At 49.2% G+C, this 26,427-nt stretch overlaps 1 protein-coding gene and 1 pseudogene across 5 annotated transcripts in view, besides 1 other annotated feature; one reads left to right on the top strand and one right to left on the bottom strand.

Moving 5' to 3' along the window:
- Nucleotides 1-26,427, bottom strand: part of C16orf96 (chromosome 16 open reading frame 96) — a 62,158-nt gene that overhangs the window by 14,545 nt on the left and 21,186 nt on the right. For 4 of the 5 annotated variants that reach the window (NM_001387219.1, XM_047434053.1, NM_001145011.2 and 1 more), the window contains 6 exons: nt 14,549-14,653; nt 11,425-11,505; nt 11,156-11,242; nt 9,579-11,040; nt 7,189-7,274; nt 6,089-6,199 (listed from right to left, as the gene is read on the bottom strand). In NM_001387219.1, the coding sequence (NP_001374148.1) occupies nt 6,089-6,199; nt 7,189-7,274; nt 9,579-11,040; nt 11,156-11,242; nt 11,425-11,505; nt 14,549-14,653 (1,932 nt within the window). The remainder of the gene's footprint in view (nt 1-6,088; nt 6,200-7,188; nt 7,275-9,578; nt 11,041-11,155; nt 11,243-11,424; nt 11,506-14,548; nt 14,654-26,427) is intronic. The other variant, XM_005255298.4, reaches the window with a different exon arrangement.
- Nucleotides 563-1,063: an enhancer, noted in NCBI's record as "H3K4me1 hESC enhancer chr16:4635152-4635652 (GRCh37/hg19 assembly coordinates)". NCBI's record gives its function as "activates a minimal SCP1, AML or CMV promoter by ChIP-STARR-seq in primed H9 embryonic stem cells {active_cell/tissue: H9 hESC(primed)}" and the evidence as "EXISTENCE:reporter gene assay evidence [ECO:0000049][PMID:30033119]".
- On the top strand, nt 22,965-23,598 carry SUB1P3 (SUB1 pseudogene 3; annotated as a pseudogene).

The raw sequence follows: 26,427 nt of genomic DNA, 5'->3' as shown, positions 1-26,427 counted from the left end.
ATTTCGGCTCACTGCAACCTCCGCCTCCCGGGTTCAAGAGATTCTCCCACCTCAGCCTCCCGAGTAGTTGGGGTCACTGACACCCAACACCACGCCTGGCTAAGTTTTGTATTTTTAGTAGATATGGGGTTTCACCATGTTGGTTACGATGGTCTCGAACTCCTGACCTCAAATGATTCGCCTGCCTCAGCCTCCCAAAGTGCTGGGATTACAGGTGTGAGCCACCGCGCCTGGCTCCAATATGTAGTTTTCTATCCTTCCCTCTCTCTATTATCCTGAGTCTCCTGTGTCCATTATCCTGCTCGGTCTGTCTTTTCACACCTATGGCTTAGCTCATTTACAAGTGAGAACATGCAGTCTTTGCTTTCCACTCCTGAGTTGCTTCACTTAGAATAATGACCCCGGCCTCCATCCAAGTTGCTCCAAAGCCAAGGGACACCTTGAACCACCAGAAGCTGGGAGAGGCGAGGAGGCCCCTCTGAGCTTTCAGGTGGAACACAGCCTATGACACCTTGATTTCAGAATTCCCGCCTCCAGAACCCCAAGAGTGATTTGCCGCAGCAACCGCAGGGAACTGATCCAACCAGCAGGTGGCAGAATCAGGATTCAAACCTAGGCACGTCTGTTCCAAAGCCTGGGCTCTGAACCACAGCCACTCCAGGCCCCCTCCCAGCCCAGCAGGCTTGGGCTCGTTTCTTTGCTGAGTCTCTGTTACCTCCTCTTTATTTTAATTTTAATTTTTTTATTTTAATTTTTTGAGGCAGGCTCTTGCTCTGTCACTCAGGCTGGAGTAAAGTGGCTTGATCACAGCTCACTGCAGTCTCAGCCTTCCAGGCTCAAGCAAGCCTCCTGCCTCAGCTTCCAGAGGAGCTGGGACTGCAGGTGACACCACCTACCTGGATTTTTTTTTTTTTTTTTTTTTGTAGAGACAGGGGTCTCACTATGTTGCCTCAGGCTGATCTGGAACTCCTAGGCTCAAAGGATCCTCCCCCATCAGCCTCCCAAAGTGCTGGGATTACAAGAGCCATCAAACCTGGCCTTATTTATGCTTTTTATTTTTATTTTTTGAGACAGGGTCTCAGTCTGTCACCCAGGCTGGAATGCAGTGGTGCGAGCTCAGCTCACTGCAACCTCCACCTCCCAGACTCCAGTGATCCTCCCACCTCTGCTTCCCCAGTAGCTGGGACTATAGGTGCAAGCCACCATGCCAGGCTATATTCATGTTTTATAATCTTATTATTTTGGCTGGGCGCAGTGGCTAATGCCTGTAATCCCAGCACTTTGGGAGGCTGAGGTGGGTGGATCACTTGGGGTCAGGAGTTCGAGACCAGCCTAGCCAACATGGTGAAACCCCATCTCTACTAAAAATACAAAAAAATTGGCTGGGCACGGTGGCTCACGCCTGTAATCCCAGCACTTTGGGAGGCCGAGGCAGGCAAATCACCTGAGGTCAGGAGTTCAAGACCAGCCTGGCCAATGTGGTGAAACCCTGTCTCTACTCAAAATAAAAAATTAGCCGAGTGTGGTGGCAAACGCCTGTTACCCCAGCTACTCGGGAGGCTGAGGAAGGAGAATCACTTGAACCCGGGAGGCAGATGTTGCAGTAAGCCAAGATTGCGCCATTGCACTCCAGCCTGGGCAACAGAGTGAAATTCTGCCTCGAACAAAAACAAAAAACAAACCAAAAAAACCACAAAAATTAACTAGGCATGGTGGCACACGCCTGTAGTCCCAACTGCTCAGGAGGCTGAGGCAGAAGAATTGCTTGAACCCGGGAGGCGGAGGTTACAATGAGCCAAGATTGCGCCACTGCACTCCAGGCTGGGCGACAGAGCGAGACTGTATCTCAAAAAAAAAAATTAGCCAGGCATGGTGGCACACGCCTGTAGTCCCAGCTACTCAGGAGGCCGAGGTGGGAGGATCACTTGAGCCTGGGAGTTCAAGGCTGCACTGAGCCATGATTAGGCCACTACACTCCAGCCTGGGGGACAGAGCAAGACCCAAAACGACACTGGGAAACCTAAGTCTTACATGTAAGTCACATGGTGGAGAGCAAGACAGAGACACAGTCATGAGATCTTGCTCCCATCCTGCATTTGTCACCGTGCTACTGCCTTGTGTCATCTAGAGGATTGCTATCGGACTTAAGACTTACTGTTATTCCTTGAAATGGTTTTCCTAACACTGGTTGTGGAGTAATCCATCCTTCCTGTAGTGGTCATATGCTAAATTCTTGTAAATCTTAGATCTGGTCTTCTTGGCCTATTTTTTTTTTTTTTTTTTTTTTTTGAGATACAGTCTTGCTCTCTCGCCCAGGCTGGAGTGCAGTGGTGCGATCTTGGCTCACTGCAGCCTCCGCCTCCTGAGCTGAAGCAATTCTCCTGCCTCAGCCTCCCAAGTAACTAGGATTACAGGCATGCGCCACCACGCCTGGCTAATTTTTTTGTATTTTTAGTAGAGACACGGTTTCACCATGTTGGCCAGACTGGTTTCAAACTCCTGACCTCAAGTGATCCGCCCATGTCGGCCTCCCAAAGTGCTGGAATTACAAGTGTGAGCCACCATGCCCAGTCTTCTTGGCCTATTGATTTGCCTATTCCCACACTTGTTCTACATTATTTTTTATTTTTCTTCTTTAACTATTGGTAATACAAACCATTTGTGTGGTTCAAAATCCTAAGACTGTATTTTAGTTTACTTTAGTTTTTGAGACAGAGTCTCACTCTGTCACCCAGGCTGGAGTGCAGTGGCATGACCTCAGCTCACTGCAACCTCCACCTCCTGGGTTCAAGTGATTCTCCTGCCTCAGCCTCCCTGGTAGCTGGGACTATAGGCGTACGCTGCCACATCTGGCTAATATTTTTATTTTTATTTTTTTAGCGATGGGGCCTTGCCGTATTGTCCAGGCTCGTCCTGAAGTCCTGGCCTCAAGGGATCCTCCTGCCTTGGCCTCCCAAAGTGCTGAGATTTTTCCCAAGATGGAGTTTTGCTCTTGTTGCCCAGGCTGGAGTGCAATGACACAATCTCGGCTCACTGCAACCTCTGCCTCCCGGGTTCAAGCGATTCTCCTGCCTCAGCCTCCCGAGTAGCTGGGATTACAGGCACCCGCAACCACGCCCAGCTGATTTTTTTGTGTTTTTAGTAGCGATCGGCTTTCATCATGTTGGTCAGGTTGGTCTTGAACTCCTGACCTCAGGTGATCCGCCTGCCTCAGCCTCCCAAAGTGCTGGGATTACAGGCGTGAGCCACCGAGCCTGGCCAGCAATGAAATCTTCATAGCACAAGAGCCAGGAAGCTGGGACAACGGTCCTGGGACAAGGGATGTGCTCTGTTTTGGCACACGTGGCAGGGCTTCATCAGCTTCAGAGTCTTTCTAATAAGTGACAACTACGGACACGCAGGCAGACACTGCAGCCCCTGCTCACCCCCATGCAGGGTCTGGCGTAGTGCTGGGTGCACGATGGACATGCTGAATGGAACTGGCTCCAGCTCCATGGAGAAAGGGCACCAAGATGACCCCAGGACATGGTGGCCTGGGTCTCTCTGAAGAGGAGTGTTGGCAGGAGACCTGGTTCCTGGCCAGTGGTGCACAGTCTGAGCACGTACCCCTGCATGCAGTCCACCCACACTCGGCCCAGCATCTCCAGAGACAGCCAACCCTCCTGTCCACCCCCACTTCATAGGCTGTGAATTGGTTCCCCTTTAATGAGTTATTTTCCATTCAAAGTTGCCTCAAATGGGTCCCAGCCTGATTACAGTGTGCCAGCCTTGGGGTCAGCCATACGCCATGGGTTTCCTTGGTCCCTTTTCCCCCAACACACCCCAGTGCATCCCAGCAACAGCCCCCCGACTTGGAAGCCTTCACGGAAACAACCTTGGTGGGTTATTATTTATTTATTTATTTATTTATTTATTTATTTATTTATTTTTTGAGACTGAGTCTTGCTCTTGTCGCCCAGGCTGGAGTGCAATGGCGCAATCTTCGCTCACTGCAACCTCCGCCTCCCGGGTTTAAGTGATTCTCCTGCCTCAGCCACCCGAGTAGCTGGGATTACAGGCATCCGCCACCATGCCCGGCTAATTTTTGTATTTTTAGTAGAGACGGGGTTTCACTATGTTGGCCAGGCTGGTCTCGAACTCCTGACCTCAGGTGATCCGCCTGCCTCAGCCTCCCAAAGTGCTGGGATTACAGGTGTGAACCACCGCGCCTGGCCGTTAGTGAGTTTTTTGCTTTTTGCTTGTTTCTTTGCTTTCTTTTTTTGAGATGGTCTTTCTGTGTCACCCAGGCTGGAGTCAGTGATGCAGTCACAGCTCACTGCAGCCTCAACCTCCCATGCTGAAGCAATCCTCCCACCTCAGCCTCCCAGGTAGCTGGGACTACAGGCATGTGCTACCACGCTTGGCTAATTTTATAATTTTTTTTTTGTAGAGACAGTTTTCTTCTGTTGGCCAAGTCTTGAACTCCTGGCCTCAAGCAATCCTCCCTCATTACAGGTTTAAGCCTCTGCACCCAAAGTACTAGGATCACAGGTATGAGCCACCACATCCAGCTAGGTTTTTTTGTTTTTGTTTTTGTTTTTTGAGACGGAGTCTTGCTCTGTCGCCCAGGCTGGAGTGCAGTGGTGGGATCTCGGCTTACTGCAAGCTCTGCCTCCCAGGTTCATGCCATTCTCCTGCCTCAGCCTCCTGAGTAGCTGGGACTACAGGCGCCAGCCACCACGCCCGGCTAATTTTTTGTATTTTTAGTAGAGATGGGGTTTCACCACGTTAGCTAGGATGGTCTCAATCTCCTGAACTCGTGATCCACTCGCCTCAGCCTCCCAAAGTGCTGGGATTACAGGCGTGAGCCACCGCGCCTGGCCCTTTTTATTTTTTTTTGAGACAGAGTTTCGCTCTTGTTGCCCAGGCTGGAATGCAATGGCGCAATCTCAGCTCAGTGCAACCTCCACCTCCCGGGTTCAAGCGATTCTCCTGCCTCATCCTCCCAGGTAGCTGGGATTACAGGTGTGTGCCACTACGCCTGGCTAATTATATATATATATATATATATATATATATATATATATATATATGTATACATATATATTTTTAGACAGAGTTTTGCTCTTGTTACCCAAGCTGGAGTGCAATGGCACGATCGGGGCTCACCGCAACCACTGCCTCCCCGGTTCAAGGGATTCTCCTGCCTCAGCCTCCTGAGTAGCTGGGATTACAGGCATGCGCCACCACGCCCAGCTAATTTTGTATTTTTAGTAGAGACAGGGTTTCTCCATGTTGGTCAGGCTGGTCTCGAACTCCCGATCTCAGATGATCCGCCCACCTCAGCCTCCTAAAGTGCTGGGATTACAGGCGTGAGCCTCTGCACCCAGCCTAATTTTGTATTTTTCTAGAAGAGACGGGGTTTCACCATGTTGGCCAGGCTGGTCTCAAACTCCTGACCTCAAGTGATCCACCACACCTCGGCCTCCCAAAGTGCTGGGATTATAGGCGTGAACCACCGCGCCCAGTCCCAGCTAAATTTTTTATTTGTGTAGAGATGGGGTCTCCCTGTGTTACCCTGGCTTGTCTCAAACTCTTTGTCTTAAGTGATCCTCCCACCTCAGATTCCCAAAGCGCTGGGATTACATATGTGAGCCACCGCACCCAGCCTAAATATTTCTTTTTATTATTATTTTTTTATTTTTATCACCCAGCCCAAAATGTCAGTAAATATTTCTACCTCTTGGCTCAGGGAAATGTTAAGAATGTAACAGTTGGCACAAGAAGTTCTCTTAATCATTCACTGAGTCATTCAGCAAATGTGATGGAGCCTTCACTACCCCTGCCCTTCCAGGGGCAGGTGACGCAGTGGTCAAAAAGACGAACATTGTCCCGGCCCTTCTGTTTATATGGGTGGGGGGGGGTGGTGGGATTCGTTTGCTTTTCATTGAAGTGTAATTTACACACAGTAAAATGCCAGTAAAGCCCCACTGGTTCCCAGCCTCAAGTGCATCCCCACCTCATGCAGAACCTTCGGGAAGGGCCAGAAGGTCTAGGTGAGGAATTCTCCCTTTGCCAGCCCTTCTCCAGCCTACCCAGTCCTCCTAACCTTGAACTCATCCATGCGAATCTGCAGGTTCTCCACCGCCTTGTCCAAAGTGATGTAGCGATCCTTCATCATCTCTATTTGGTTGCCCCAAATTCTCTCAAGTTCTTCCTCCTAAAAGGGGGAGACACAGACACCCCAGGCCTCTGCTTCTGAAGTTACCATGGCCGGGAAGGGGCCTGAGGGAGGGTTGAGGCCAAGAAGAATGTACCAGACCAGGCTGGGCGTGGTGGCTCATGCCTGTAATCCCAGCACTTTGGGAGGCCAAGATGGGTAGATCAACTGAGGTCAGGAGCTCGAGACCAGCCTGCCCAACACGGCGAAACCAGTCTCTACAAAAAATACAAAAATTAGCCAGGTGTGGTGGCGGGCCCCTGTAATCCCAGCTACTAGGGAGGCTGAGGCAGGAGAATTGCTTGAACCCAGGAGGCAGAGGTTGCAGCGAGCTGAGGTCACGCCACTGCACTCCAGCCTGGATGACAGAGCAAGATTCCGTCTCAAAAAAAAAAAAAAATAAGGTATCAGACCAGGGTGCCTTCCACCTGCCATTTTTTTTTTTTTTTTTTTTTTTTTTTGAGACAGGGCCTTGCTCTGTCACCCAGGCTAGAGTGCAGCGGCGTGATCTTGGCTCATTGCAGCCTCCACCTCCCAGGCTCAAGTGATCCTCCCACCTCAGCCTCCCGAGTAGTTGGGACTGTAGGGACAAACCACCACACCTGGATAATTTTTGTATTTTTTTGCAGAGAAGGGATCTCACTATGTTGCCCAGGCTGGTCTTGAACTCCTGAGCTCAAGTGATCTGCCTGCCTCAGCCTTGTAAAGCGTTGGGATTACAGGTATGAGCCACCGCACCGGCTTCACCTGCCCTCTGAACAGCCACCTGAGACACAGAACCGTGTAGCCCCACACCTGCTGGGCCCCCCCACCGCACCAGTGAATCAGCTTTGAGAGGCAGCAGCTGCCTTCGCAGCCAGCTCGCTTTCCCCCAGCCTGTTTTGCTGCAGAACACAGCTGCACCTGGGAGGGGGGCAGAGTCAAGGAGTCTTCAGCCAGCTCACCTCAAGCCATCACTGCCTCAAAAGCCCTTCGCCGGAGACACTAACCTTGAGCCTAGATTTCTGGAGGCTGCCAATCTTTTTCTGCAATATGTCCACTGTTGTCCCGAGGCTGGAAGGACCTCCCATATTGGCTGAAAGCAGAGGACAGGGTGGCTGCTGAGGGCTCGGATGGAGGAAGATGTTTCTGTTGGGCTCTAGCTGCTTCTCTTATGGAGCATCTCAGGCAGCACTGCCCAGTGGAAATGCACTGGGCCTCGCAGCTTGTGGTACCTTTTTATTTATTTCTTCATTATTTTTTAATTAATTTATTTTTTGAGATGGAATCTCGCTCTGTCACCAGGCTGGAGTGCAGTGGCGCGATCTCGGCTCACTACAACTTCCGCCTCCTGGGTTTAAGCAATTCTCCTGCCTCAGCCTCCCGAGTACCTGGGATTACAGGCACACGCCACCACGCCCAGCTAATTTTTGTATTTTTAGTAGAGACAGGGTTTCACCATGTTGGCCAGGTTGGTCTCGATCTCTTGACCTCGTGATCCGCCTTCCTCAGCCTCCCAAAGTGCTGGGAGTACAGGCATGAGCTACCGCACCCGGCCTATTAGTTTTTAAATTAATTAAAAAAAATTTTTTTTATCAGGTGCAGTGGCTCACGCCTGTACTCCCAACACTGTGGGAGGCCGAGGCAGGTGGATCACCTGGGATCAGGAGTTTGAGACCAGCCTGGCCAAAATGGAAAAACCCCATCTCTACTAAAAATACGAAAATCAGCCAGGCTTGGTGGCACATGCCTCTAGTCCCAGCTACTTGGAAGGCTGAGGCAGGAGAATCTCTCGAACCCAGGAGGCGGAGGCTGCAGTGAGCTGTGATCACGCCATTGCACTCCAACCGGCGACAAAAGTGAAACTCCATCTCAAAAAATAATAACAATAATTAAAAAAATTTTTTTTTAAATTTTGTTTGTATGGAGACAAGGTCTCACTCTGTTGCCCAGGCTGGAGTGCAGTGGCACGATCATAACCCAGTGCAGTCTTGAACTGCTAGGCTCAAGCAATCTTCCCACCTCAGCCTCCTGAGTAGTTGGGACTACAGGCCTGCGCCACCACTCAGGCTTTTTTTTTTGTTTTGAGGAGGAGTCTCGCTATCGCCCAGGCGGGAGTGGCACAATCTCTGCTCACTGCAACCTCTGCCTCCCGGGTTCAAAGTGTTTCTCCTGTCTCAGCCTCCGAGGTAGCTGGGATTACAGGCGCGCACTATCAAGCCTGGCTAACTTTTGTATTTTTAGTCGAGACGGAGTTTCGCTATGTTGGCCAGGCTGGTCTCGAACTCCTGACTTCAAGTGATCCACCTGCCTCATCCTCCCAAGGGACTGGGATTACAGGCGTGAGCCACCGCACACGGCCAATGTTTAAAATTTTTTTTTTTTGAGACGGAGTCTAGCTCTGTCGCCCAGGCTGGAATGCAGTGGCACGATCTCGGCTCACTGCAAGCTTCGCCTCCTGGGTTCACGCCATTCTCCTGCCTCAGCCTCCTGAGTAGCTGGGACTACAGGCGCCCGCCACCATGCCCAGCTAATTTTTTTGTATTTTTAGTAGAGACGGGGTTTCACCGTGTCAGCCAGGATGGTCTCCGTATCTGCCTGCCTTGGCCTCCCAAAGTGCTAGGATTATAGGCGTGAGCCACCGCACACAGCTAGTGTTTAAAAATTTTTTTAGAGATGAGGTCTTGATGTTACCCAGGGTGGTCTCGAACTTCCAGTTCAAGCAGTCTTCCTGCCTTGGCCTCCCAAAGTGCTAAGATTACAGGCATGAGTCACCATGCTTAGCCAATACAATACTGTTTTATGGGCTATCACAAAGGAGTTTTTTTTGTTGTTGTTGTTTTTGAGACAGAGTTTCGTTCTTGTTGCCCAGGCTGGAGCGCAATGGCATGATCTTGGCTCACCGCAACCTCTGCCTCCTGGGTTCAAGCGATTCTCCTGCCACAGCCTCCCGAGTAGCTGGGATTACAGGCATACACCACCACGCCCAGCAAATTTTGTATTTTTAGTAGAGACGGGGTTTCTCCATGTTGGTCAGGCTCATCTTGAACTTGCGGTCTCAGGTGATCCGCCCACCTCAGCCTCCCAAAGTGCTGGGATTACAGGTGGGAGCCACCACGCCTGGCCACAAGAGTTTTTGAGAGTAATTTTGGCATGCCATTTTCCTCGTGCCAACTTTAGACCCTAACAGCCTCCCTGCCCTAAGATAAGACCTCATTGTACATTCAACAGAAAAGAATAGACTCGTTAAGAGCCAAATGCTTAAGCCAAAGGAAAGAATGGCTAATGGTGGAATGCAGATTTTGTTGGTGGAGCCCAGTGAAGGACAGGACACACTTCTCAAAGGCTGCAGGGAGAGCCCCACTCCCTTGTGCCCTTCCCAGGGCCAGACCAGGCCTACCTAGATAACTCAAGCGCTGGTTCAGGTTACAGGACAGCTGGGCAAATTCTTCCTTCAGAGAGTCGTGTTTGACAGGTATCTGGGCTATGTGGCTCATGGAATACTTGACAGCCCTCTTCTTGTCTTCAGGGCTCATGGCCTGCTTGGTAGCCACCATGGCCTGGGACAGGGCTGGATCGGGACCGATGCTGGCAGCAGAGTAGGAGGGAGAGAGGATTTCGTAGATTTCGGAATCATCGCCCAAGATCTGGGATTCTGTGGCTCCCCGGGAAGGCCCTGCACCCAGGACATCTGCAAAGACCCCTAGGGGCCCAGCTGCAGCCGTGTCTGTTGCAATGGCGGCCATTTTGGTGGCTGGGGCATCCTTGACAAACTTGGCAGCAACTTTGGCTGCCTGGGCAGCGGAGGATGTGGCAGCGGCGTAGGCTGCGGCGGCAGCGGCGGCGATGGCAGCGGTGGTTTTCAGCCGGTGAAGGGCAGACTGGGGAGCCTTAGGCTGTGCTTCCTTGGGGGCCCCATCCTTGCCAACTCTATCCTTGGGGTCCCCATCTTTGCCACCTCTATCTTTGGGGACATCATCCTTGTGAGCTCTATCCTTGGGGTCCACATCCTTGCCACCTCTATCTTTGGGGACATCATCCTTGTGAGCTCTATCCTTGGGGTCCACATCCTTGCCACCTCTATCTTTGGGGACCCCATCCTTGCGAGTTCTATCCTTGGGGGCCCCATCCTTGCGGGCCCTCTCCCGAAGGCCCCTTAGGCTGGGGACATCATTTTCCTCCCCCTTTACTTGGACAGCTGCGAGCTGGAGGGCTTCTCCCTGGCGAGACTGATATGGCTGGAGTGGTCGAGGCCACAATGAGCCAAACTCAGTGGCTGGTGGTGGGGCCCTGGAGGGTTGGGGCTGAGTTGGCCGCAGGACACCTAAGTCCCACAGAGGCCAAGAGCCCACCCTGGGCCAGCCTTGGGGAAGAGGCCAGCGTCTTGGGAGTGCAGGCCAGTCTCCCAGTGGTGGAGGCTGGGCACCTGGGGCAGGCACAGGTCCAAGCACAGGCCAAGGTGCTGGCAAGGACCCAGGTGTCACACTGGGCCCTGGGACAGGCCCCAGGGCAGGCACAGGCTCCAGCTCCAGCCCCAGCTCCAGTCCTGGCACAGGTTCAGTCCCAGGTGCAGGCCCAGGTGCAAATTCAGTTGTGCACCCAGGTGCAGACTCAGGCGTGAGGGCCGGAGGCTGCGCTGGCTCCTGGGCTCTGCTGAGTGAAACTGCTTGGGCAGATGAGCCCTCCGGGAGGAGCTCTGGGACCTCATAATGCCAGACAGTCTGCAGTAGCTGGGGGTTTTGGACGGGCTCGGAGACCTGGATGGCACGAGTAGCTTCAAGGTACTTGGTGGTCTGGGCCAGGGCAGCCTCTGGGAGCTGCTCTACAGACTGCCACAGGTCCAGTGGTGATGAACCAATTTCCTGCAGAAGAGGGGGCAGAGGGGCTCTGCTGGCTTCCAGCCCCGCCTCCCACTCTCAGTCAGCCACCCGCCTGCTCCCCAGCTTCCTGCTAACCTCCCCTTCCTTCCTCACTCACTGAGGTGAACATGGCATCATGAAGGCCACTCCAGAGCACCATGTCCTCGGTTTTGGGGATGGTTTTAAACTTATTCTGGAGAGAAGCCTGCAAGGTGGGGGTAGAAAATGAGGGCTGTGAGCCTGGAGGGGGCAGTGTCCCCCACACCTGCAAAGAAACCTTTCCAGGCTGTGTTCTCCTCCTTGCACCTCCCTACCCTCAGCACCCAGGACCCGGGAGGTTGGGGGGTCCCAGGGGGAGTGGGGGAAGACAGGGATGGTGGCCCTCACCACTTCCCGCTGCAGTGCAACCATCTTCCAGTTCTGTATTTTGAAGTCTTCAGCAAAGATGTCCATTCTTTCTGGGTGTACCTGTCAAAGGAACTGAGTCTGTGGACTGGGGGTCCAGGTTCTGTCCCACCCCTGCCTTTTCCCGTGGCTCTAGGTGACTAAGAGCTTGAGAAGGAAGAACGGGTTCCAAATCCAGTGTTTCCCAAGGAGTGGGAAAGGGTTCCATGGGCAAACAAGTTTGGGAAATGCTGGGCTTGAAAGCATGTCAGGCCGGGCACAGTGTCTCATGCCTGTAACCCCAGCACTTTGAGAGGTCAAGGTGGGTGGATAACTTGAGGTCAGGAGTTCGACAGCAGCCTGGCCAACATGGTGAAACACCGTCTCTACTAAAAATACAAAAATTAGCTGGGCCTGATGGCATGCGCCTGTAATCCCAGCTATCAGGAAGCTGAGGCAGGAGAATCACTTGAATCCAGGAGGCAGAGGTTGCAGTGAGCTGAGATGGCGCCACTGCACTCCAGCCTGGGCAACAGAGTGAGACTTTGTCTCAAAAATAAGTAAATAAATAAATAAATAAAAAACATTTCAACAGGTTTCTGTACGGCAGGACTTCCCAGAGCCTTGAATGAGCAAAAGCACATTAAGAATCTCCAAGAGGGCCGGGCACAGTGGCTCATGCCTGTAATCCCAGCACTTTGGGATGCTGAGGCGGGTGGATCATGAGTTCAGGAGTTCGGGACCAGCCTGACCAATGTGGTGAAGCCCCCACCTCCACTAAAAACACAAAAATTAGCTAGGCGTGGTGGCTTGCACCTGTAATCCCAGCTACTCAGGAGGCTGAGGCAGGAAAATCACTTGAACCCGGGAGGCAGAGGTTGCAGTGAGCTGAGATCGTGCCACTGCACTCCAGCCTGGGTGACAGAGAGAGACTCCGTCTCAAAAAGAATACAAAACAAAACAACAACAACAAAAACACCTCCAAGAGACAGGCCAATAAGGCATTGTTTTTCTTTTCTTTTTTCTTTTTTTTTTTTTTTTGAGACAGAGTCTCACTCTGTTGCCCAGGCTGGAGTGCAGTGGTGTGATCTCGGCTCACTGCAAGCTCCACTTCCCAGGTTCACACCATTCTCCTGCCTCAGCCTCCTGAGTAACTGGGACTACAGGTACCTGCCACCACATCCAGCTAATTTTTTGTATTTTTAGTAGAGATGGGGTTTCACCGTGTTAGCGAGGATGGTCTCGATCTCCTGACCTTGTGATCTGCCCACCTCAGCCTCCCAAAATGCTGAGATTACAGGCGTGAACCACCATGCCGCCCCACCGACCCCACCTTTTTTTTTTTTTTTTTTTTGAGACGGAGTCTTGCTCTGTCACCCAGGCTGGAGTGCAGTGGCGCAATCTTGGCTCACTACAATCTCCACCTCCTGGGTTCAAGTGATTCTCGTGCCTCAGCCTCCTGAGTAGCTGGGGTTACGGGTGCCTGCAACCACACCCAGCTAATTTTTGTATTTTTAGTGGAGACGGGGGTTTTACCATGTTGGCCAGGCTGGTCTCGAACTCCTGACCTCAGGTGATCCGCCTGCTTTGGCTTCCCAAAGTGCTGGGATTACAGGCGTGAGACACCAGGCCCCGCCGAGAAGGCATGGTTTCTCCAACAGCTTTGTCTAAGGGGCCCTTTTGAGTAGCTCATGATGCAGCTTTTAACAGCGTTCTTTCTGCTTAGATGGGAGCCATCCAGCCCATGCCTAAAGCTCCCACAGTTGCCATGATGATCAAATACAGGCCCTGATCTGTGAAGCCGGGATGATACAGAAAATTACACTATTTGGGGGAAGTTGTTAAACCTGGGGGTGTGGAGAGCTGGCTTCAGACCCCAGCTGTGACTCATCAGTTGTGACGGGGACAGCTGCCTCATGTCTCGGGGACTCCATGTCCTTCCATGCATGGTAGGGTGTTAGAAAATACTTGGCTGATGGTTTTTGGCTACAGAAGTACAGAAGGAGCTTGTATGTATGCCTGCACTATTATGATTATTCCACTTTCCATGTGGACAGAGCTTTCCAGAAGGGGAAGAGGTTTTCTTTTTGCTAGGTTGGTGGAATATAAGTCTGCTGTTGCCAAGACTTGAGGAGCACCTGCCTGAGAATGAAGCCAACTGGGAGGAAAGTTTCACTGAGAAACGTCAGTATTGCCGGATGTGGTGGCTCACGCCTGTAATCCTGGCACTTTGGGAGGCTGAGGCGGGCGGATCAAGAGGTCAGGAGATTGAGACCATCCTGGCTAACATGGTGAAACCCCATCTCTACTAAAAATACAAAAAAAATTAGCCGGGCATGGGGGCGGGCGCCTGTAGTCCCAGCTACTCGGGAGGCTGAGACAGGAGAATGGCGTGAACCCGGGAGGTGGAGGTTGCAGTGAGTCAAGATCGAGCCACTACACTCCAGCCTGGGCAACAGAGCGAGACTCCATCTCAAAAAAAAAAAGAAATATAAGTATTGCATGAGTACCTAGATCTGGCCGTCCCTGGACCTTTTAGTAAATGAGACAATAAATCCCTTATTTTGCCTAATCCAGGATGAACGTGATTTCTGTCACTTACAACTAACGTTTTAACACACTGGGGTAGAAAGCATGGAGGGGTCGGCCAGGTATGGTGGCTTACACCTGTAATCCCAGCACTTTGGGAGGCTGAGGTGGGTGGATCACGAGGTCAGAAGTTCGAGACCAGCCTGGCCAACAAGATGAACCCCTGTCTCTACTAAAAATACAAAAATTACCCAGATGTGGTGGTGCGTGCCTGTAATCCCAGCTACTCGGGAAGCTCAGGCAGGAGAATCACTTGAACCCGGGAGGCAGAGGTTGCCGTGAGCCAAGATCATGCCATTGCACTCCATCCTGGGCAACAGAGTGAGACTCTGTCTTAAAAAAAAAAAAGAAAAGAAAAGAAAGCATGGAGGGGTCACAGAGAAGTCGGTGGCACTGGCCAATTGGAGGGTCCACATGACCACACCCTCACAGCTGCACTCTTGGCCTAACAGTAAGCTTCCTAGATTTTCCTCATTGCTCCAACCCCCAGAGGCCTGAGCAACGCAGCTGGCATGGAGGATGCTGGGGGAGGGCCTACCTTGTCAAGCATGTTCTTCAGCATGTCCACTTCTTTTCTGAGGGCTGTGATGGTGACCTGGAGTGCATGAAGATCAGTGAGCAAGTCCTGCAGGGTCTGCATTGACTGCAAAAGAGGAGGAGAAAATGTGAAGCCGGGTATGGCTGGGGGAGAAGGTAAGTGAAGTGCAGAAGCTTTCTGATGATAGCCGTTGTTCAAGAGGTCCTCTTGGCTCTCCCAAGGCCTAGACTGGAACCTACAAGGGGACCAGGAGATGCTACTAAAGTCAACAGTGCTCTCATCTCCAAGTGGCCTGGATGAGAAGGAGGCAACTCTGTATTTGAATATATCCAGAAACCAGGAGTTACTCGTCATGAAGCATCTCACGCCCTTTCTTCTATGATAGATGTCAGCCAGGGAGGAAGCACAGCCCATCCCTGGGTAGGAGCCACTGGAGGATCAGGAGCAGGAGAGACAGGGTTGCATTTACTTTTTGTTTCTAAGATGGAGTCTCACTCTGTGGCTCAGGCTGGAGTGCAGTGGCGCGATCTCAACTCACTGTAACCTCCACCTCCTGGGCTCAAGTGATTCTCCTGCCTCAACCTCCCAAGTAGCTGAGACCGCAGGTGTGCATCACCACGCCCAGCTAATTTTTTTTGTTTTTGTTTTTGTTTTTGTTTGGTAGAGATGGGGTTTCACCACGTTGCTCAGGCTGGTCTCGAATTCCTGAGCTCAAGCAATCTGCCCGCGTCATCCTCCCAAAGTGCCACAGCACCCGGTCTGTATTTACATTTTAAAGGATCTCTCGGGCTCCTGTGGAGCCTGGCTCTGGAGGGCAAAAGGGGAAGCAGGCTGCCTGCAGAAATTATTGCTTGCTGTAGGGAGAAATCCTCACACATCTGGTGTCAGAAGTGTGTTGCGAGCTTGGCGCGGTGGCTCATGCCTATAATCCCAGCACTTTGGGAGACCAAGTCAGGCAGAACATGAGGCCAGGAGTTCGATAACAGTCTGGCCAACACGGTGAAACCCTGTTTCTACTAAAAATACAAAAAAACTTAGCAGTTCCTGATGTTGCGTGCCTGTAATCCCAGCTACTCAGGAGGATGGGGCAGGAGAATCACTTGAACCTGGGAGGCAGAGGCTGCAGTGAGCCAAGATCGCACCACTGCACTCCAGACTGGACAACGAAGTGAGTCTCTATCTAAAAAAAAAAAAAAAAAAAAGCGTGTTGTGAGAACAGTGTGAAAGAAACTGAGTTTTTTTCCACTCAGAGGGCCAAACTATCTGGAAGATATAATAATTATAAACATACATGCACTTAACAGAGCCCTTTATAAAATACATGAAGGAAACACTGACAGAACTGAAAGTGTAACTGAAAAGCACGTTGGTTGCTCGCTGCATTGCAGGGTTCAGTTACCATGAGCAAGGTCTGGTACCAAAAAGAAAGTGAATTTATTCCGAATTATCAGCACTTTGGGAGCTTGAGGCAGGAGTATCATTTGAGCTCAGGAGTTCCAGACCAGCCTGGGCAACATAGTGAGATCCCGTCTCCGTAATTCAAAAATAAAATAAAAAAGTTCTAGCTTGGGGAAGGGGCACAAAGCGCCCTGGCTTTAAACGTGCCGCTTCACTTCTGGAGAAAAAGTGGGCACTTTTAAGACGTAGGGGATACAGCCAGCAAGGGCAGGGGTCTCCTTTTGAGCGTGATGTCTTATCTACTGGGCAGCTGAGTTGGCACCTTCCTGGGAAGAAGTAAGTTGTAAAAGTGGCCATGGGCACGCTTTCAACATGTCCTCCTGGTGAGACTGAGCTCTCAGGCAATCCCTGGAGAGTGGAAGTTCCCAGGTGAAAGTCCTATAAGGGGCGTGCTTTGGTCTCTAAGTCTGTTTCTTAACTCTCCAGGAGTTACATGAACTTGCCCTGTAGGGAGTGACTGGTGAAGGAGGGGTCAAAGACTATCTTTGCCTTCTTTTTTTTTTTTTTTGAGACAGAGTCTCACTCTGTCACCTAGGCAACCTTCACCTCCCGGGTTCAAGTGATTCTCCCACCTCAGCCTCCCAAGTAGCTGAGACTACAGGGGCACACCACCACGCCCTGCTAATGGGGTTTCACCATGTTGGCCAGGCTGATCTCAAACTCCTGACCTCAAGTGATCCACCCACCTCGGCCTCCCAGAGTGCTGGGATTACAGGCATGAGCCAACTCACCAGGCCTCTCTTTGCATTTCTAAAGGGCTAAGTAGGAAGTGGGGAGCAGTGGGGAAGGAGAAAGGAAGAGAAAATAATTTTTAAAATAAACTATCTTTTAGAAAAATGGGGGTACTCAGTTACAAAAGGAGAAATAGTTAATTAACAAGAATAGTTTGAGACTTCAATTTCCTATTTTCAGTAATGAATAGAATAACTAAGATAAGGAAGGTCCAGCATGGTGGCTCACACCTGTAATCCCAGCACTTTGGGAGGCTGAGGCCAGTGGATCTGAAGTTCAGGAGTTTGAGACCAGCCTGGCCAACATGGTGAAACCCCATCTCTACCAAAAATATAAAAATTAGCCAGGCGTGGTAGTGTTTGCCTGTAATCCCAGCTACTTGGGAGGCAGAGGTGAGAGGATCACTTGAACCCCGGAGGCAGAGGTTGCAGCAAGCCAAGATTATGCCACTGCTCTCCAGCCTGTGTGACTCCATCTGAGTAAGTCACACAAGATGGAGTAAGACTCCATCTCGAAAAAACAAAACCCGAGATAAAAAGAACAGTATCCTGGGTGCAGTGGCTCACATCTGTAATCCCAGCATTTTGGGGGGCTGAAGCAGGTGGATCACTTGAGCCCAGGAGTTCGAAACCAGCCTGGGCAACATAGCGGTCTCCCATCTCTACAAAAAAATACCAAAATTAGACAGGCGTGGTGGTGCATGCCTGTAGTCCCAGGTCCCTGGGAGGATGAGATGGGAGGATCTTCCTAGCCCAGGAGGTTGAGGCTGAAGTGAGCTGTGATTGCACTACTGCCCTCCAGCTTGGGTGACAGAGTGAGACTCTGTCTCAAAAAAAAAAAAAAAAATTAAAAAGAAAAGAAAAAGAAAAAAAGAAGAGCAAGAGGCTGGGTTCAGTGGCTTACACCTGTAATCCCAGCATTTTGGGTAGCTGCAGTGGAAGGATGGCTTGAGCCCAGGGGTTCCAGAGCAGCCTGGGCAACCAAGGGAGACCCTGTCACTATAAAATAAATAAAATTAACAAAACAAAAGGCCAGCAAGAAAAGAGAAGATTTGAACAATAGTATAAACCAACTAGACATAACAGATATCTACGGAATACCCCACTCAACAATGGTAGAATACATATTATTCTCAAATGCACATAGAATACTCTCCAGGGTAGACCATATGGTAAAGCCATAAAACAAGCCTTAACAAATTTCAAAAGGACTGAAATTATGCAAAATACATACTCTGACCACAATGGAATTAAATTAGAAAGCAACAGAAGAGGCCAGGTATGGTGGCTCATGCCTGTAATTCAGCACTTTGGGAGCTTGAGGCAGGAGTATCATTTGAGCTCAGGAGTTCCAGACCAGCCTGGGCAACATAGTGAGCTCCCGTCTCTATAATTCAAAAATAAAATAAAAAAGTTCTTGGATTGCCAATGGCTCCCATAGACAGGGCTTAAAACAAACAAACAAACAAAAAACAAAAACAGGCCGGACGTGGTGGCTCACATCTGTAATCCCAGCACTTTGAGAGGCTACAGCAGGCAGATCATGAAGTCAGGAGATCGAGACCATCCTGGCCAACATGGTGAAACCCCATCTCTACTAAAAATACAAAAATTAGCTGGGTGTGGTGGTGCGTGCCTGTAGTCCCAGCTACTCGGGAGGCTGAGGCAGGAGAACTGCTTGAACCCAGGAGCAGAGGTTGTAGTGAGCCAAGGTCATGCCATTGCACTCCATCCTGGTGACAGAGGAAGACTTCATCTCAAAAAAAAAAAAAAAAAAAAAAAAAGGCAACAGAAGAAACTATTGAAAATTCACAAACATGTAAAAATTTAAAAAACATTCTACTAAATGACAAATATGTCAAAGAAGAAATCACAAAAGGAATATGTCAAAGAAGGCCGGGCGCGGTGGCTCACACCTGTAATCCCAGCACTTTGGGAGGCCGAGGTGGGCGGATGATGAGGTCAGATCAAAACCATCCTGGCTAACACGGTGAAACCCCGTCTCTACTAAACATACAAAAAAAAATTAGCCGGGCGTGGTGGCGGGCACGTGTAGTCCCAGCTACTTGGGAGGCTGAGGCAGGAGAATGGCGTGAACCCAGGAGTCTGAGCTTGCAGTGAGCCAAGATCGCGCCATTGCACTCCAGCCTGGGTGACAGAGCGAGACTCCATCTCAAAAAAAAAAAAAAAAAAAAAGAAAAGAAATATGTCAAAGAAGAAATCACAATAGAAATAGAAATTAGAAACTAATTTGAAATGAGTTAAAATGAAAGCACAACACACCAGAACTTACGGGATGCAGCTAAAGTGGTGATTAGACACTTAGAACACTTATTGTTGTAAGTGACTATATTAACAAAGAAAGATCTTGAATCAATAACTTAACCTTCCACCTTAAGACACTGGAACAAAGAAAAGCAAACTGAACCTAAAACAAATAGAAATAAGAAAATAACAAAGAATATGGTGAAATTAATGAAATAGAGGATAAAAAAATAGTACAGAAAAATCAATGAAACTAAACACTGGTTAATTGAAAAGGTCAACAAAATTGACAAACTTTTAGCTAGATTGGCCAAGAATCAGACTCAAATTATTAGAATCAGAAATGAAAGAGAGGGCATTCTATCAACTCTACAGAAATAAAAAGGATTATAAAGAAATACTATGAATAATTGCCTGTGGACAAATTATATAATTTAGGTGAAATGGACAAATTCCTAGAAAATCATTAAAACTGACTCAAGCAGAAATAGACAATCCGAGTAAACCTAAAACAAGTGAAGAGATTAAAGTCATAATAAAAAGTACCTTTTGTGCTTCAAAAGACACCAGCAAGAAAATGAAAATACAACCCACAAAATGGGAGAAAACCTCATTTTGCAAATCATATATCTGACCCAGTATATGCAGAATATATACAGAACTCTTACAACTCAATGATACAAATAACCCAATTAAAAATGGGCAAAGATCTGAATAGACATTTCTCCAAAGATGATGTGTAAATGGCCAATAAGCACATAAAAAGAAAAGATGCTCAACATCATTCGTCATCAGGGAAATGAAAATCAAAACTACAATGAGATACCACTTCAAACTCTGTAGGATGGTCAGAAGCGAAAGTCAGATACTAAGTGCTGTTAACCATAAGGAGAAATCGTAATTCTCATACACTGCTGCTGGGAATGTAAATTGTGCAGCCATTTTAGAAGTCAGTGTGGCAGTTCCTCACAAGATTATAGAGATACCAGATGATCTCTGATTCTAATCCTAGGTATATTCCCAAAAGAAATGAAAACATAGGTCCATATAAAAACTTGCACACATGGGCCAGGCATGGTAGCTCACGTCTGTAATCCGACTGCTTTCGGAGGCCAAGGTGGAAGAGTGCTTGAGGTCAGGAGTTCAAGACCAGCGTGGGCTGTTAACACAGCAAGACCACATCTCTACATAAAACTTAAAAATTAGCCAGGCATGGTGGCAAGCGCCTGTAGTCCCAGAAACTTGGGAGGCAGAGATGGGAGGATCGCTTGAGACCAGGAGTTTGAGGCTGCAGTGAGCTATGGTGGCACCACTGAACTTCAGCCAGGGCAACAGAGCAAGACCTTGTCCCTAAAAACAAAACAGAAGTTTGTACATGAATGCTTATAGCAGCATATTCATAACAGTCAAAAGGTAGAAACGAGGCTGGGTGTGGTGGCTGATGTCTGTAATCCCAGCACCTCGGGAGGACAAAGTGGGCAGATCACCTGAGGTCAGGAGTTCGAGATCAGCCTGGCCAACATGGTAAAACCCCGTCTCTACGAAAAATACAAAAATTAGCCGGGTGTGGTGGTGGGCAGCTGTAATCCCAGCTACTCGGGAGGCTGAGGCACAAGAATCACTTGAACCCAGGAGGTGGAGGTTGCAGTGAGCTGAGACTGTGCCACTGCACTCCAGCCTGGGCGCCAGAGCCAGACTCCCTGCATCTTGCGTGGAGATTGCAGTGGTGCCATCTCAGCTTACTACAACCTCCCCCTCTGTGTGATATGCAGTGAGAGGTTTCTCACCCAAGACCCACCTGCTGTCTCACATGTAGGGGACATGCTCTGGACTCCTGTCCTGGGGAAGAAGGGGCAGGAGAGAGAGCTGTGGGGAAAGTGGCTGAGGTCTTTTTTCTGCCCAGGGTGACTGGGCCACATTCAGGGCTTGGATGGTGCTGAGTTCAAGGGAAAGTGCGTCCCCGACAGTTGCCCTTCCAGAAGCTGACCCATGCCATAGTCCTCGAGGCAGGGCTTGTCCAAACCTGCTCTCTCTCTCTCTCAAGAGGGCTTTAAGGATGCTGGGGTTCAGCTAGGGCCCAGTACTTACAAAGGCCTTAAGAGGCCTGAAAAAGGGGCTAAGGCAAACACCCCCTCAGACAAGCAGCTAGACTTGTCCACACGGTCACATGTGGGACTTTGGAAAACAGGAATGCTAACATTTCCCTCCACGGAAACGAGGAATGTAAGAGCACTTCACGACACTGTGAAGGTGACACCAATGACATCTGAGTGTTCGTTACCATTACTGCAATCATGGCAACCTTGGTCCTCTAACACCCCAAAGTGTCTTCCACACCTTTAAGCAATGTTACAAAATAGTTAAAAACCCAATTTTTATTTGTATTTTATTTATTGTTTTTGAGATGGAGTTTTGCTCTGTCGCTCAGGCTGGAGTGCAGCGGCGCGATCTCGGTTCACTGAAATCTCCACCTCTCGGGTTCAAGCGATTCTCGTGCCTCAGCCTCTCGAGTGGCTGGGACTACAGGCACGCACCACCATGCCCAGCTAATTTTTGTATTTTTAGTAAAGACAAGGTTTTGCCACATCGGCCAGGCTGGCCTGGAACTCCTGAGCTCAGGTGATCCTTCTGCCTCAGCCTCCCAAAGTGCTGGGATCATAGGCGTAAACCACCACGCCCAGCCTTAAAAATCCAATTTAAATGTGACATCATTTTAACCTGTACAATATACAGCAGGTGCTTTGTAGTTTCTGAGGGAGTAAAATGGGGAGGGTGTTTAGAAATAAAGAAAGCAACAATAGGTTGTTAGCATCCCCTTAGACTGGATCCCTCTCCCGGGGACTTCCTGGACCCAGTGCATGCAGATGGCATCACCTGAGCTGCAGAAGCTGCGTGCACATATCCAACCAAGTCTGACAATGGCCAAGAACAAATTAGGAGGGCAGAAGTCCACGAATGGACTTCACAAAGCCAGCCAAAAACACTTTAAGGCTAAAAACAAAGCAAAACCAGTTACCACTAATCTTTTCTTCTTCTTTTTTTTAAGATGGAGTTTCATTTTGTCTCCCAGGCTGGAGTGCAGTGGCGCAATCTCGGCTCACTGCAACCTCTGCCTCCCAGGTTCAAGCAATTCTCTTGTCTCAGCCTCCCGACTAGCAGCTAATTTTTGTATTTTTAGTAGAGACGGGATTTCACCATGTTGGCCAGGCTGGTCTTGAACTCCTGAGCTCAGGTGATCCGCCCACTTCGGCCTCCGAAAGTGCTGGGATTACAGGTGGGAGCCACCACACCTGGCAGTTACCACTAGTCTTAAGACAAATGTTATGATTTAAAAGTCAACAGAGGCCGGGCACAGTGGCTCATGCCTGTAATCCCAGCACATTGGGAGGCCCAGGCGGGTGGATCACCTGAGCTCGGGAGTTCAAGACCAGCCTGGCCAACATGGTGAAACCCCGTCTCTACTAAAAATACGAAAATTAGCTGGGCATGGTGGTGCACGCTTGTAATCCCAGTTACTCAGGAAGCTGAAGCAGGAGAATCGCTTGAACCCAGGAGGCAGAGGCTGCAGTAAGCCAAGATCATGCTGCTGCCCACCAGCCTGGGCAACAGAGCGAGACTCCGTCTCAAAACAAACAAACAAACAAAAAAAAGGTTAACAGAGGGTGGGCGCAGTGGCTCAAGCCTGTAATCCCAGCACTTTGGGCTGAAGTGGGAGGATTACTTGAGCTCAAGAGTTCGAGACCAGCCTGGGGAACATGGCAACACCCTGTCTCTACAAAAAATACAAATTAGCCAGTGTGGTGGCACAGGCCTGTAGTCCTACCTACTCAGGAGGTTGAGGTGGGAGGATTGCCTCCAGGGTTGAGCCCGGGAGGTTGAGGCTGCAGTGAGCTGAGATCGAGCCACTGCACCCCAGCCTGGGCGACAGAGTGAGACCCTGCCTTAAAAATAAAAACAAACGAGTCAGTCATGAGCGAACGAGCAAGAGGGTGTTCCACTGCTAGAGCCGAGCGAAGCGATGCCTAAAGCAAAGGAACTTGTTTCTTCAAACTCTTCTGGCAGTGATTCTGACAGTGAGGTTGACAAAAACTTAAAGAGGAAAAAGCAAGTTGCTCCAGAAAAACCTGTAAAGAAGCAAAAGACAGGCGAAACTTGGAGAGCTCTGTCATCTTCTGACAGAGGAGCAGCAGCAGAGATGGTAACATGTTTCAGATTGGGAAAATGAGGTACGTTGGCGTTCAAGATTTTAAAGGCAAAGTGCTAATTGATATTGGAGAATATTGGATGGATCCTGAAGGTGAAATGAAACCAGGAAGAAAAGGTATTTCTTTAAATCCAGAACAATGGAGCCAGCTGACAGAACAGATTTCTGACACTGATGATACAGTAAGAAACCTGTAAAATTCGAGCCATATAAATAAAACCTGTACTGTTCTAGTTGTTTTAATCTGTCTTTTTACATTGGCTTTTGTTTTCTAAATGTTCTCCAAGCTATTATATGTTTGGATTGCAGAAGAATTTGTAAGATGAATACTTTTTTTATATGTGCATTATTAAAAATGTTGAATGAAGCTAATTGTCAACTTTATTAAGGATTGCTTTGTGTGCCCACCACCTAGTGTAAAATAAAATCAAGTAATACAATCTTAAAAAATAAAGACAAACAAAAAAATTGAGTGAATAAAGGTTTTGTAAATATATAAAAGAACTTGCACTCTTCTCAAAAGGCTTTTCTCTTTTTTTTTTTTTTGACACAGTCTTGCTCCATTGTCCAGGCTGTAATATTAATAATAGCTCACTGCAGCCTCGACCTCCCAGGCTCAAGCAATCCTGCCTCAGCCTCCTGAGTACCTGGGACTACAGGTGCACCACCATGCCCAGCCAATTTCAAAATTTTTTGGTAGAAAGGGAGTCTCGCCATGTTGCTCAGGCTGGTCTTGAACTCCTGGGCTCAAGCGATCCTCCCACCTCAGCCTCTCAAAGTGCGGGGATTACAGGCATGAGCCACCACACCTGGCAATCTTTTCTCTTGAACATCTGTAGAAAGAACTGATTCCCCATTGGCATCATGAAAGTGAACCAGTTAATGTTGATGAAGCTACAGGATTAATGGCTTAGTTGTAATGCAGTGGCGATGCATCTCATTCCCTCAAAAAGACCAATAAGTTAAAGGTTTTCTACAATTTAAAAAAATACCCTAAGCCTTGGACCCACAATGTTATGGAAACAGGGTTAGACGAAACAGTTTCAACAACAAACAGCTGACATCATCCCTTGTTTTCGCCTGTGAGGCCAGCTGCAAGAGGTTATTATTACAGGGGAGAAAAACCGAGGCCTGAAGGAGGCAGACTGGGACTCGCGAAAGGAACATTGTAAAACACGTTTGTTTGCCAGGCGACCCCCCGGCAGCCTCACTAGTTGGTGGGTGCAGACAGTTAGCTGTGCAGTTTGCATCATTCTAGAACCAGCTGCCATGGCAACCCCCTTCAATGGGTCATTGTGGGAACCTCGGGCAACTTCAATCAGGCTGGGACAAGGCAAGATTCTCTAATGATGGGGACATTCCTTAGCTGCACAAACAGTCCTGAAGGCTGTACAGCTAGGTCTGAACCTGTCCACGAGCCCCTTTTGTGAGCTGGGTGGGTTGCCCTGTTGAGCTGCTTTTTAGAAGCCTTCATCCATCAAGGCAGGCCAGGGGGCAAGCTGCCTCTGGAGTGCCGGCACCTTGGATCCTGGTATCTGCCCATCCTGCCTGCAAGGCCCTCATAACTTGCCCTCAGCCACCCCAGGCAGCCCTGTCTCTAGTAACAATTTTTGTCTTGAAGTCTATCTTGTCTGAGAAGATCCCACTCTCCTCTGGTCACTGCTTGCAAGGAATATCTTTTGTTATTTTTTAATTTTTTTGAGATGGAGTTTCGCTTTTGTCACCCAGGCTGGAGTGTGGTGGCGCGATCTTGGCTCACTGCAAATTCTGCCTCCTGGGTTCAAGTGACTCTCCTGCCTCAGCCTCCCCAGTAGCTGGGATTAACAGGCTCCCGCCACCACGCCAGGCTAATTTTTTTTTTTTGACGGAGTTTCAGCTCTTGTTGCCCAGGCTGGAGTGCAATGGCGCAATCTCGGCTCACCACAACCTCCACCTCCCAGGTTCAAGCCGTTCTCAGCCTCCCAAGTAGCTGGGATTACAGGCATGTGCCATCACATCCGACTAATTTTGTATTTTTAGTAGAGACGGGTTTCTCCATGTTGGTCAGGCTGGTCTTGAATTCCTGACCTCAGGTGATCCACCCACCTCAGCCTCCCAAAGTGTTGGGATTATAGGGGTGAGCCACTGTGCCCCGCTGGAATATCTTTTTATATCATTTTACTTTTAACGTATTTGTGTCTTGTCTTTTTTTCGTAGAGACAGGATCTCACTCTGTCACCCAGGCTGGAGTGCAGTGGGGCCATCAGAGCTCACTGCAATCACCAACTCCTGGGCTCAAGTGATCCTCTTGCCTCAGCCTCCCAAAGAGCTGAGATTACAGGTGCATGCCACTGTGCCTGGCCCTATTTGTGTCTTTGAATCTTAAATGTGTCTCTTGCAAACCTCATATAGTAGTTAGGTCATGTTTTTTTTTTGTGTGTTTGTTTGTTTTTTATCTATTCTGCCAATCTCTGCTTTTTTTTGTGGTAAAATACCCATAATATTAAAGTATAAAAATATTTTAGTATTGGCCGGGCTTAGTGGCTCATGCCTGTAATCTCAGCACTTTGGGAGGCCAAGGCGGGTGGATCACGAGGTCAGGAGATCAAGATCATCCTGGCCAACATGGTGAAACCGCGTCTCTACTAAAAATACAAAAATTAGCTGGGTGTGGTGGCGGGCACCTACAGTCCCAGCTACTTGGGAGGCTGAGGCAGAAGAACTGCTTGAACCTGGGAGGCAGAGGTTGCAGTGAGCTGAGACCACACCACTGCACTCCAGCCTGGGCAACAGAGTGAGACTCCATCTCAAAAACAAACATATATATAAAAATGCAAAGAAAAATTAGCCAGGCATGGTGGCGCGCACCTGTATTTCCAGCTACTCAGGAGGCTGAAGCACGAGAGTCACTTGAACCTTGGAGGCAGAGGTTGCAGTGAGCAGAGATTGCACCAGTCCACTCCAGCCTGGATGACAGAGTGAGACTCTGTCTCAAAAAAATAAAAATAAAATAAAAATGAAGTGTGCAATTTGAGGGCATTTGGTATGTACACCACTATCTACTTCCAAGACACTTCATTCTCCTAAAAGGAAATCCCGTCCCTGTTACAGTCTCTCTCTGTTCCCCCCTTCCTGAGCCTCTGGAAACCACTAATCTACTTTCTGTCTCTATGAAATACACAGATTATGCCTTTAGATGAAATGTCCAGAATAGGCAAATCCGTAAGACAGAAAGCAGATTA

The sequence above is a fragment of the Homo sapiens genome, chromosome 16 (assembly GCF_000001405.40).
Source record: "Homo sapiens chromosome 16, GRCh38.p14 Primary Assembly".
In the NCBI taxonomy this organism is placed as follows: domain Eukaryota; kingdom Metazoa; phylum Chordata; class Mammalia; order Primates; family Hominidae; genus Homo; species Homo sapiens.
Note: the sequence above shows the minus strand (reverse complement) of the source record. Positions and strands in the feature narration are given on the sequence as shown.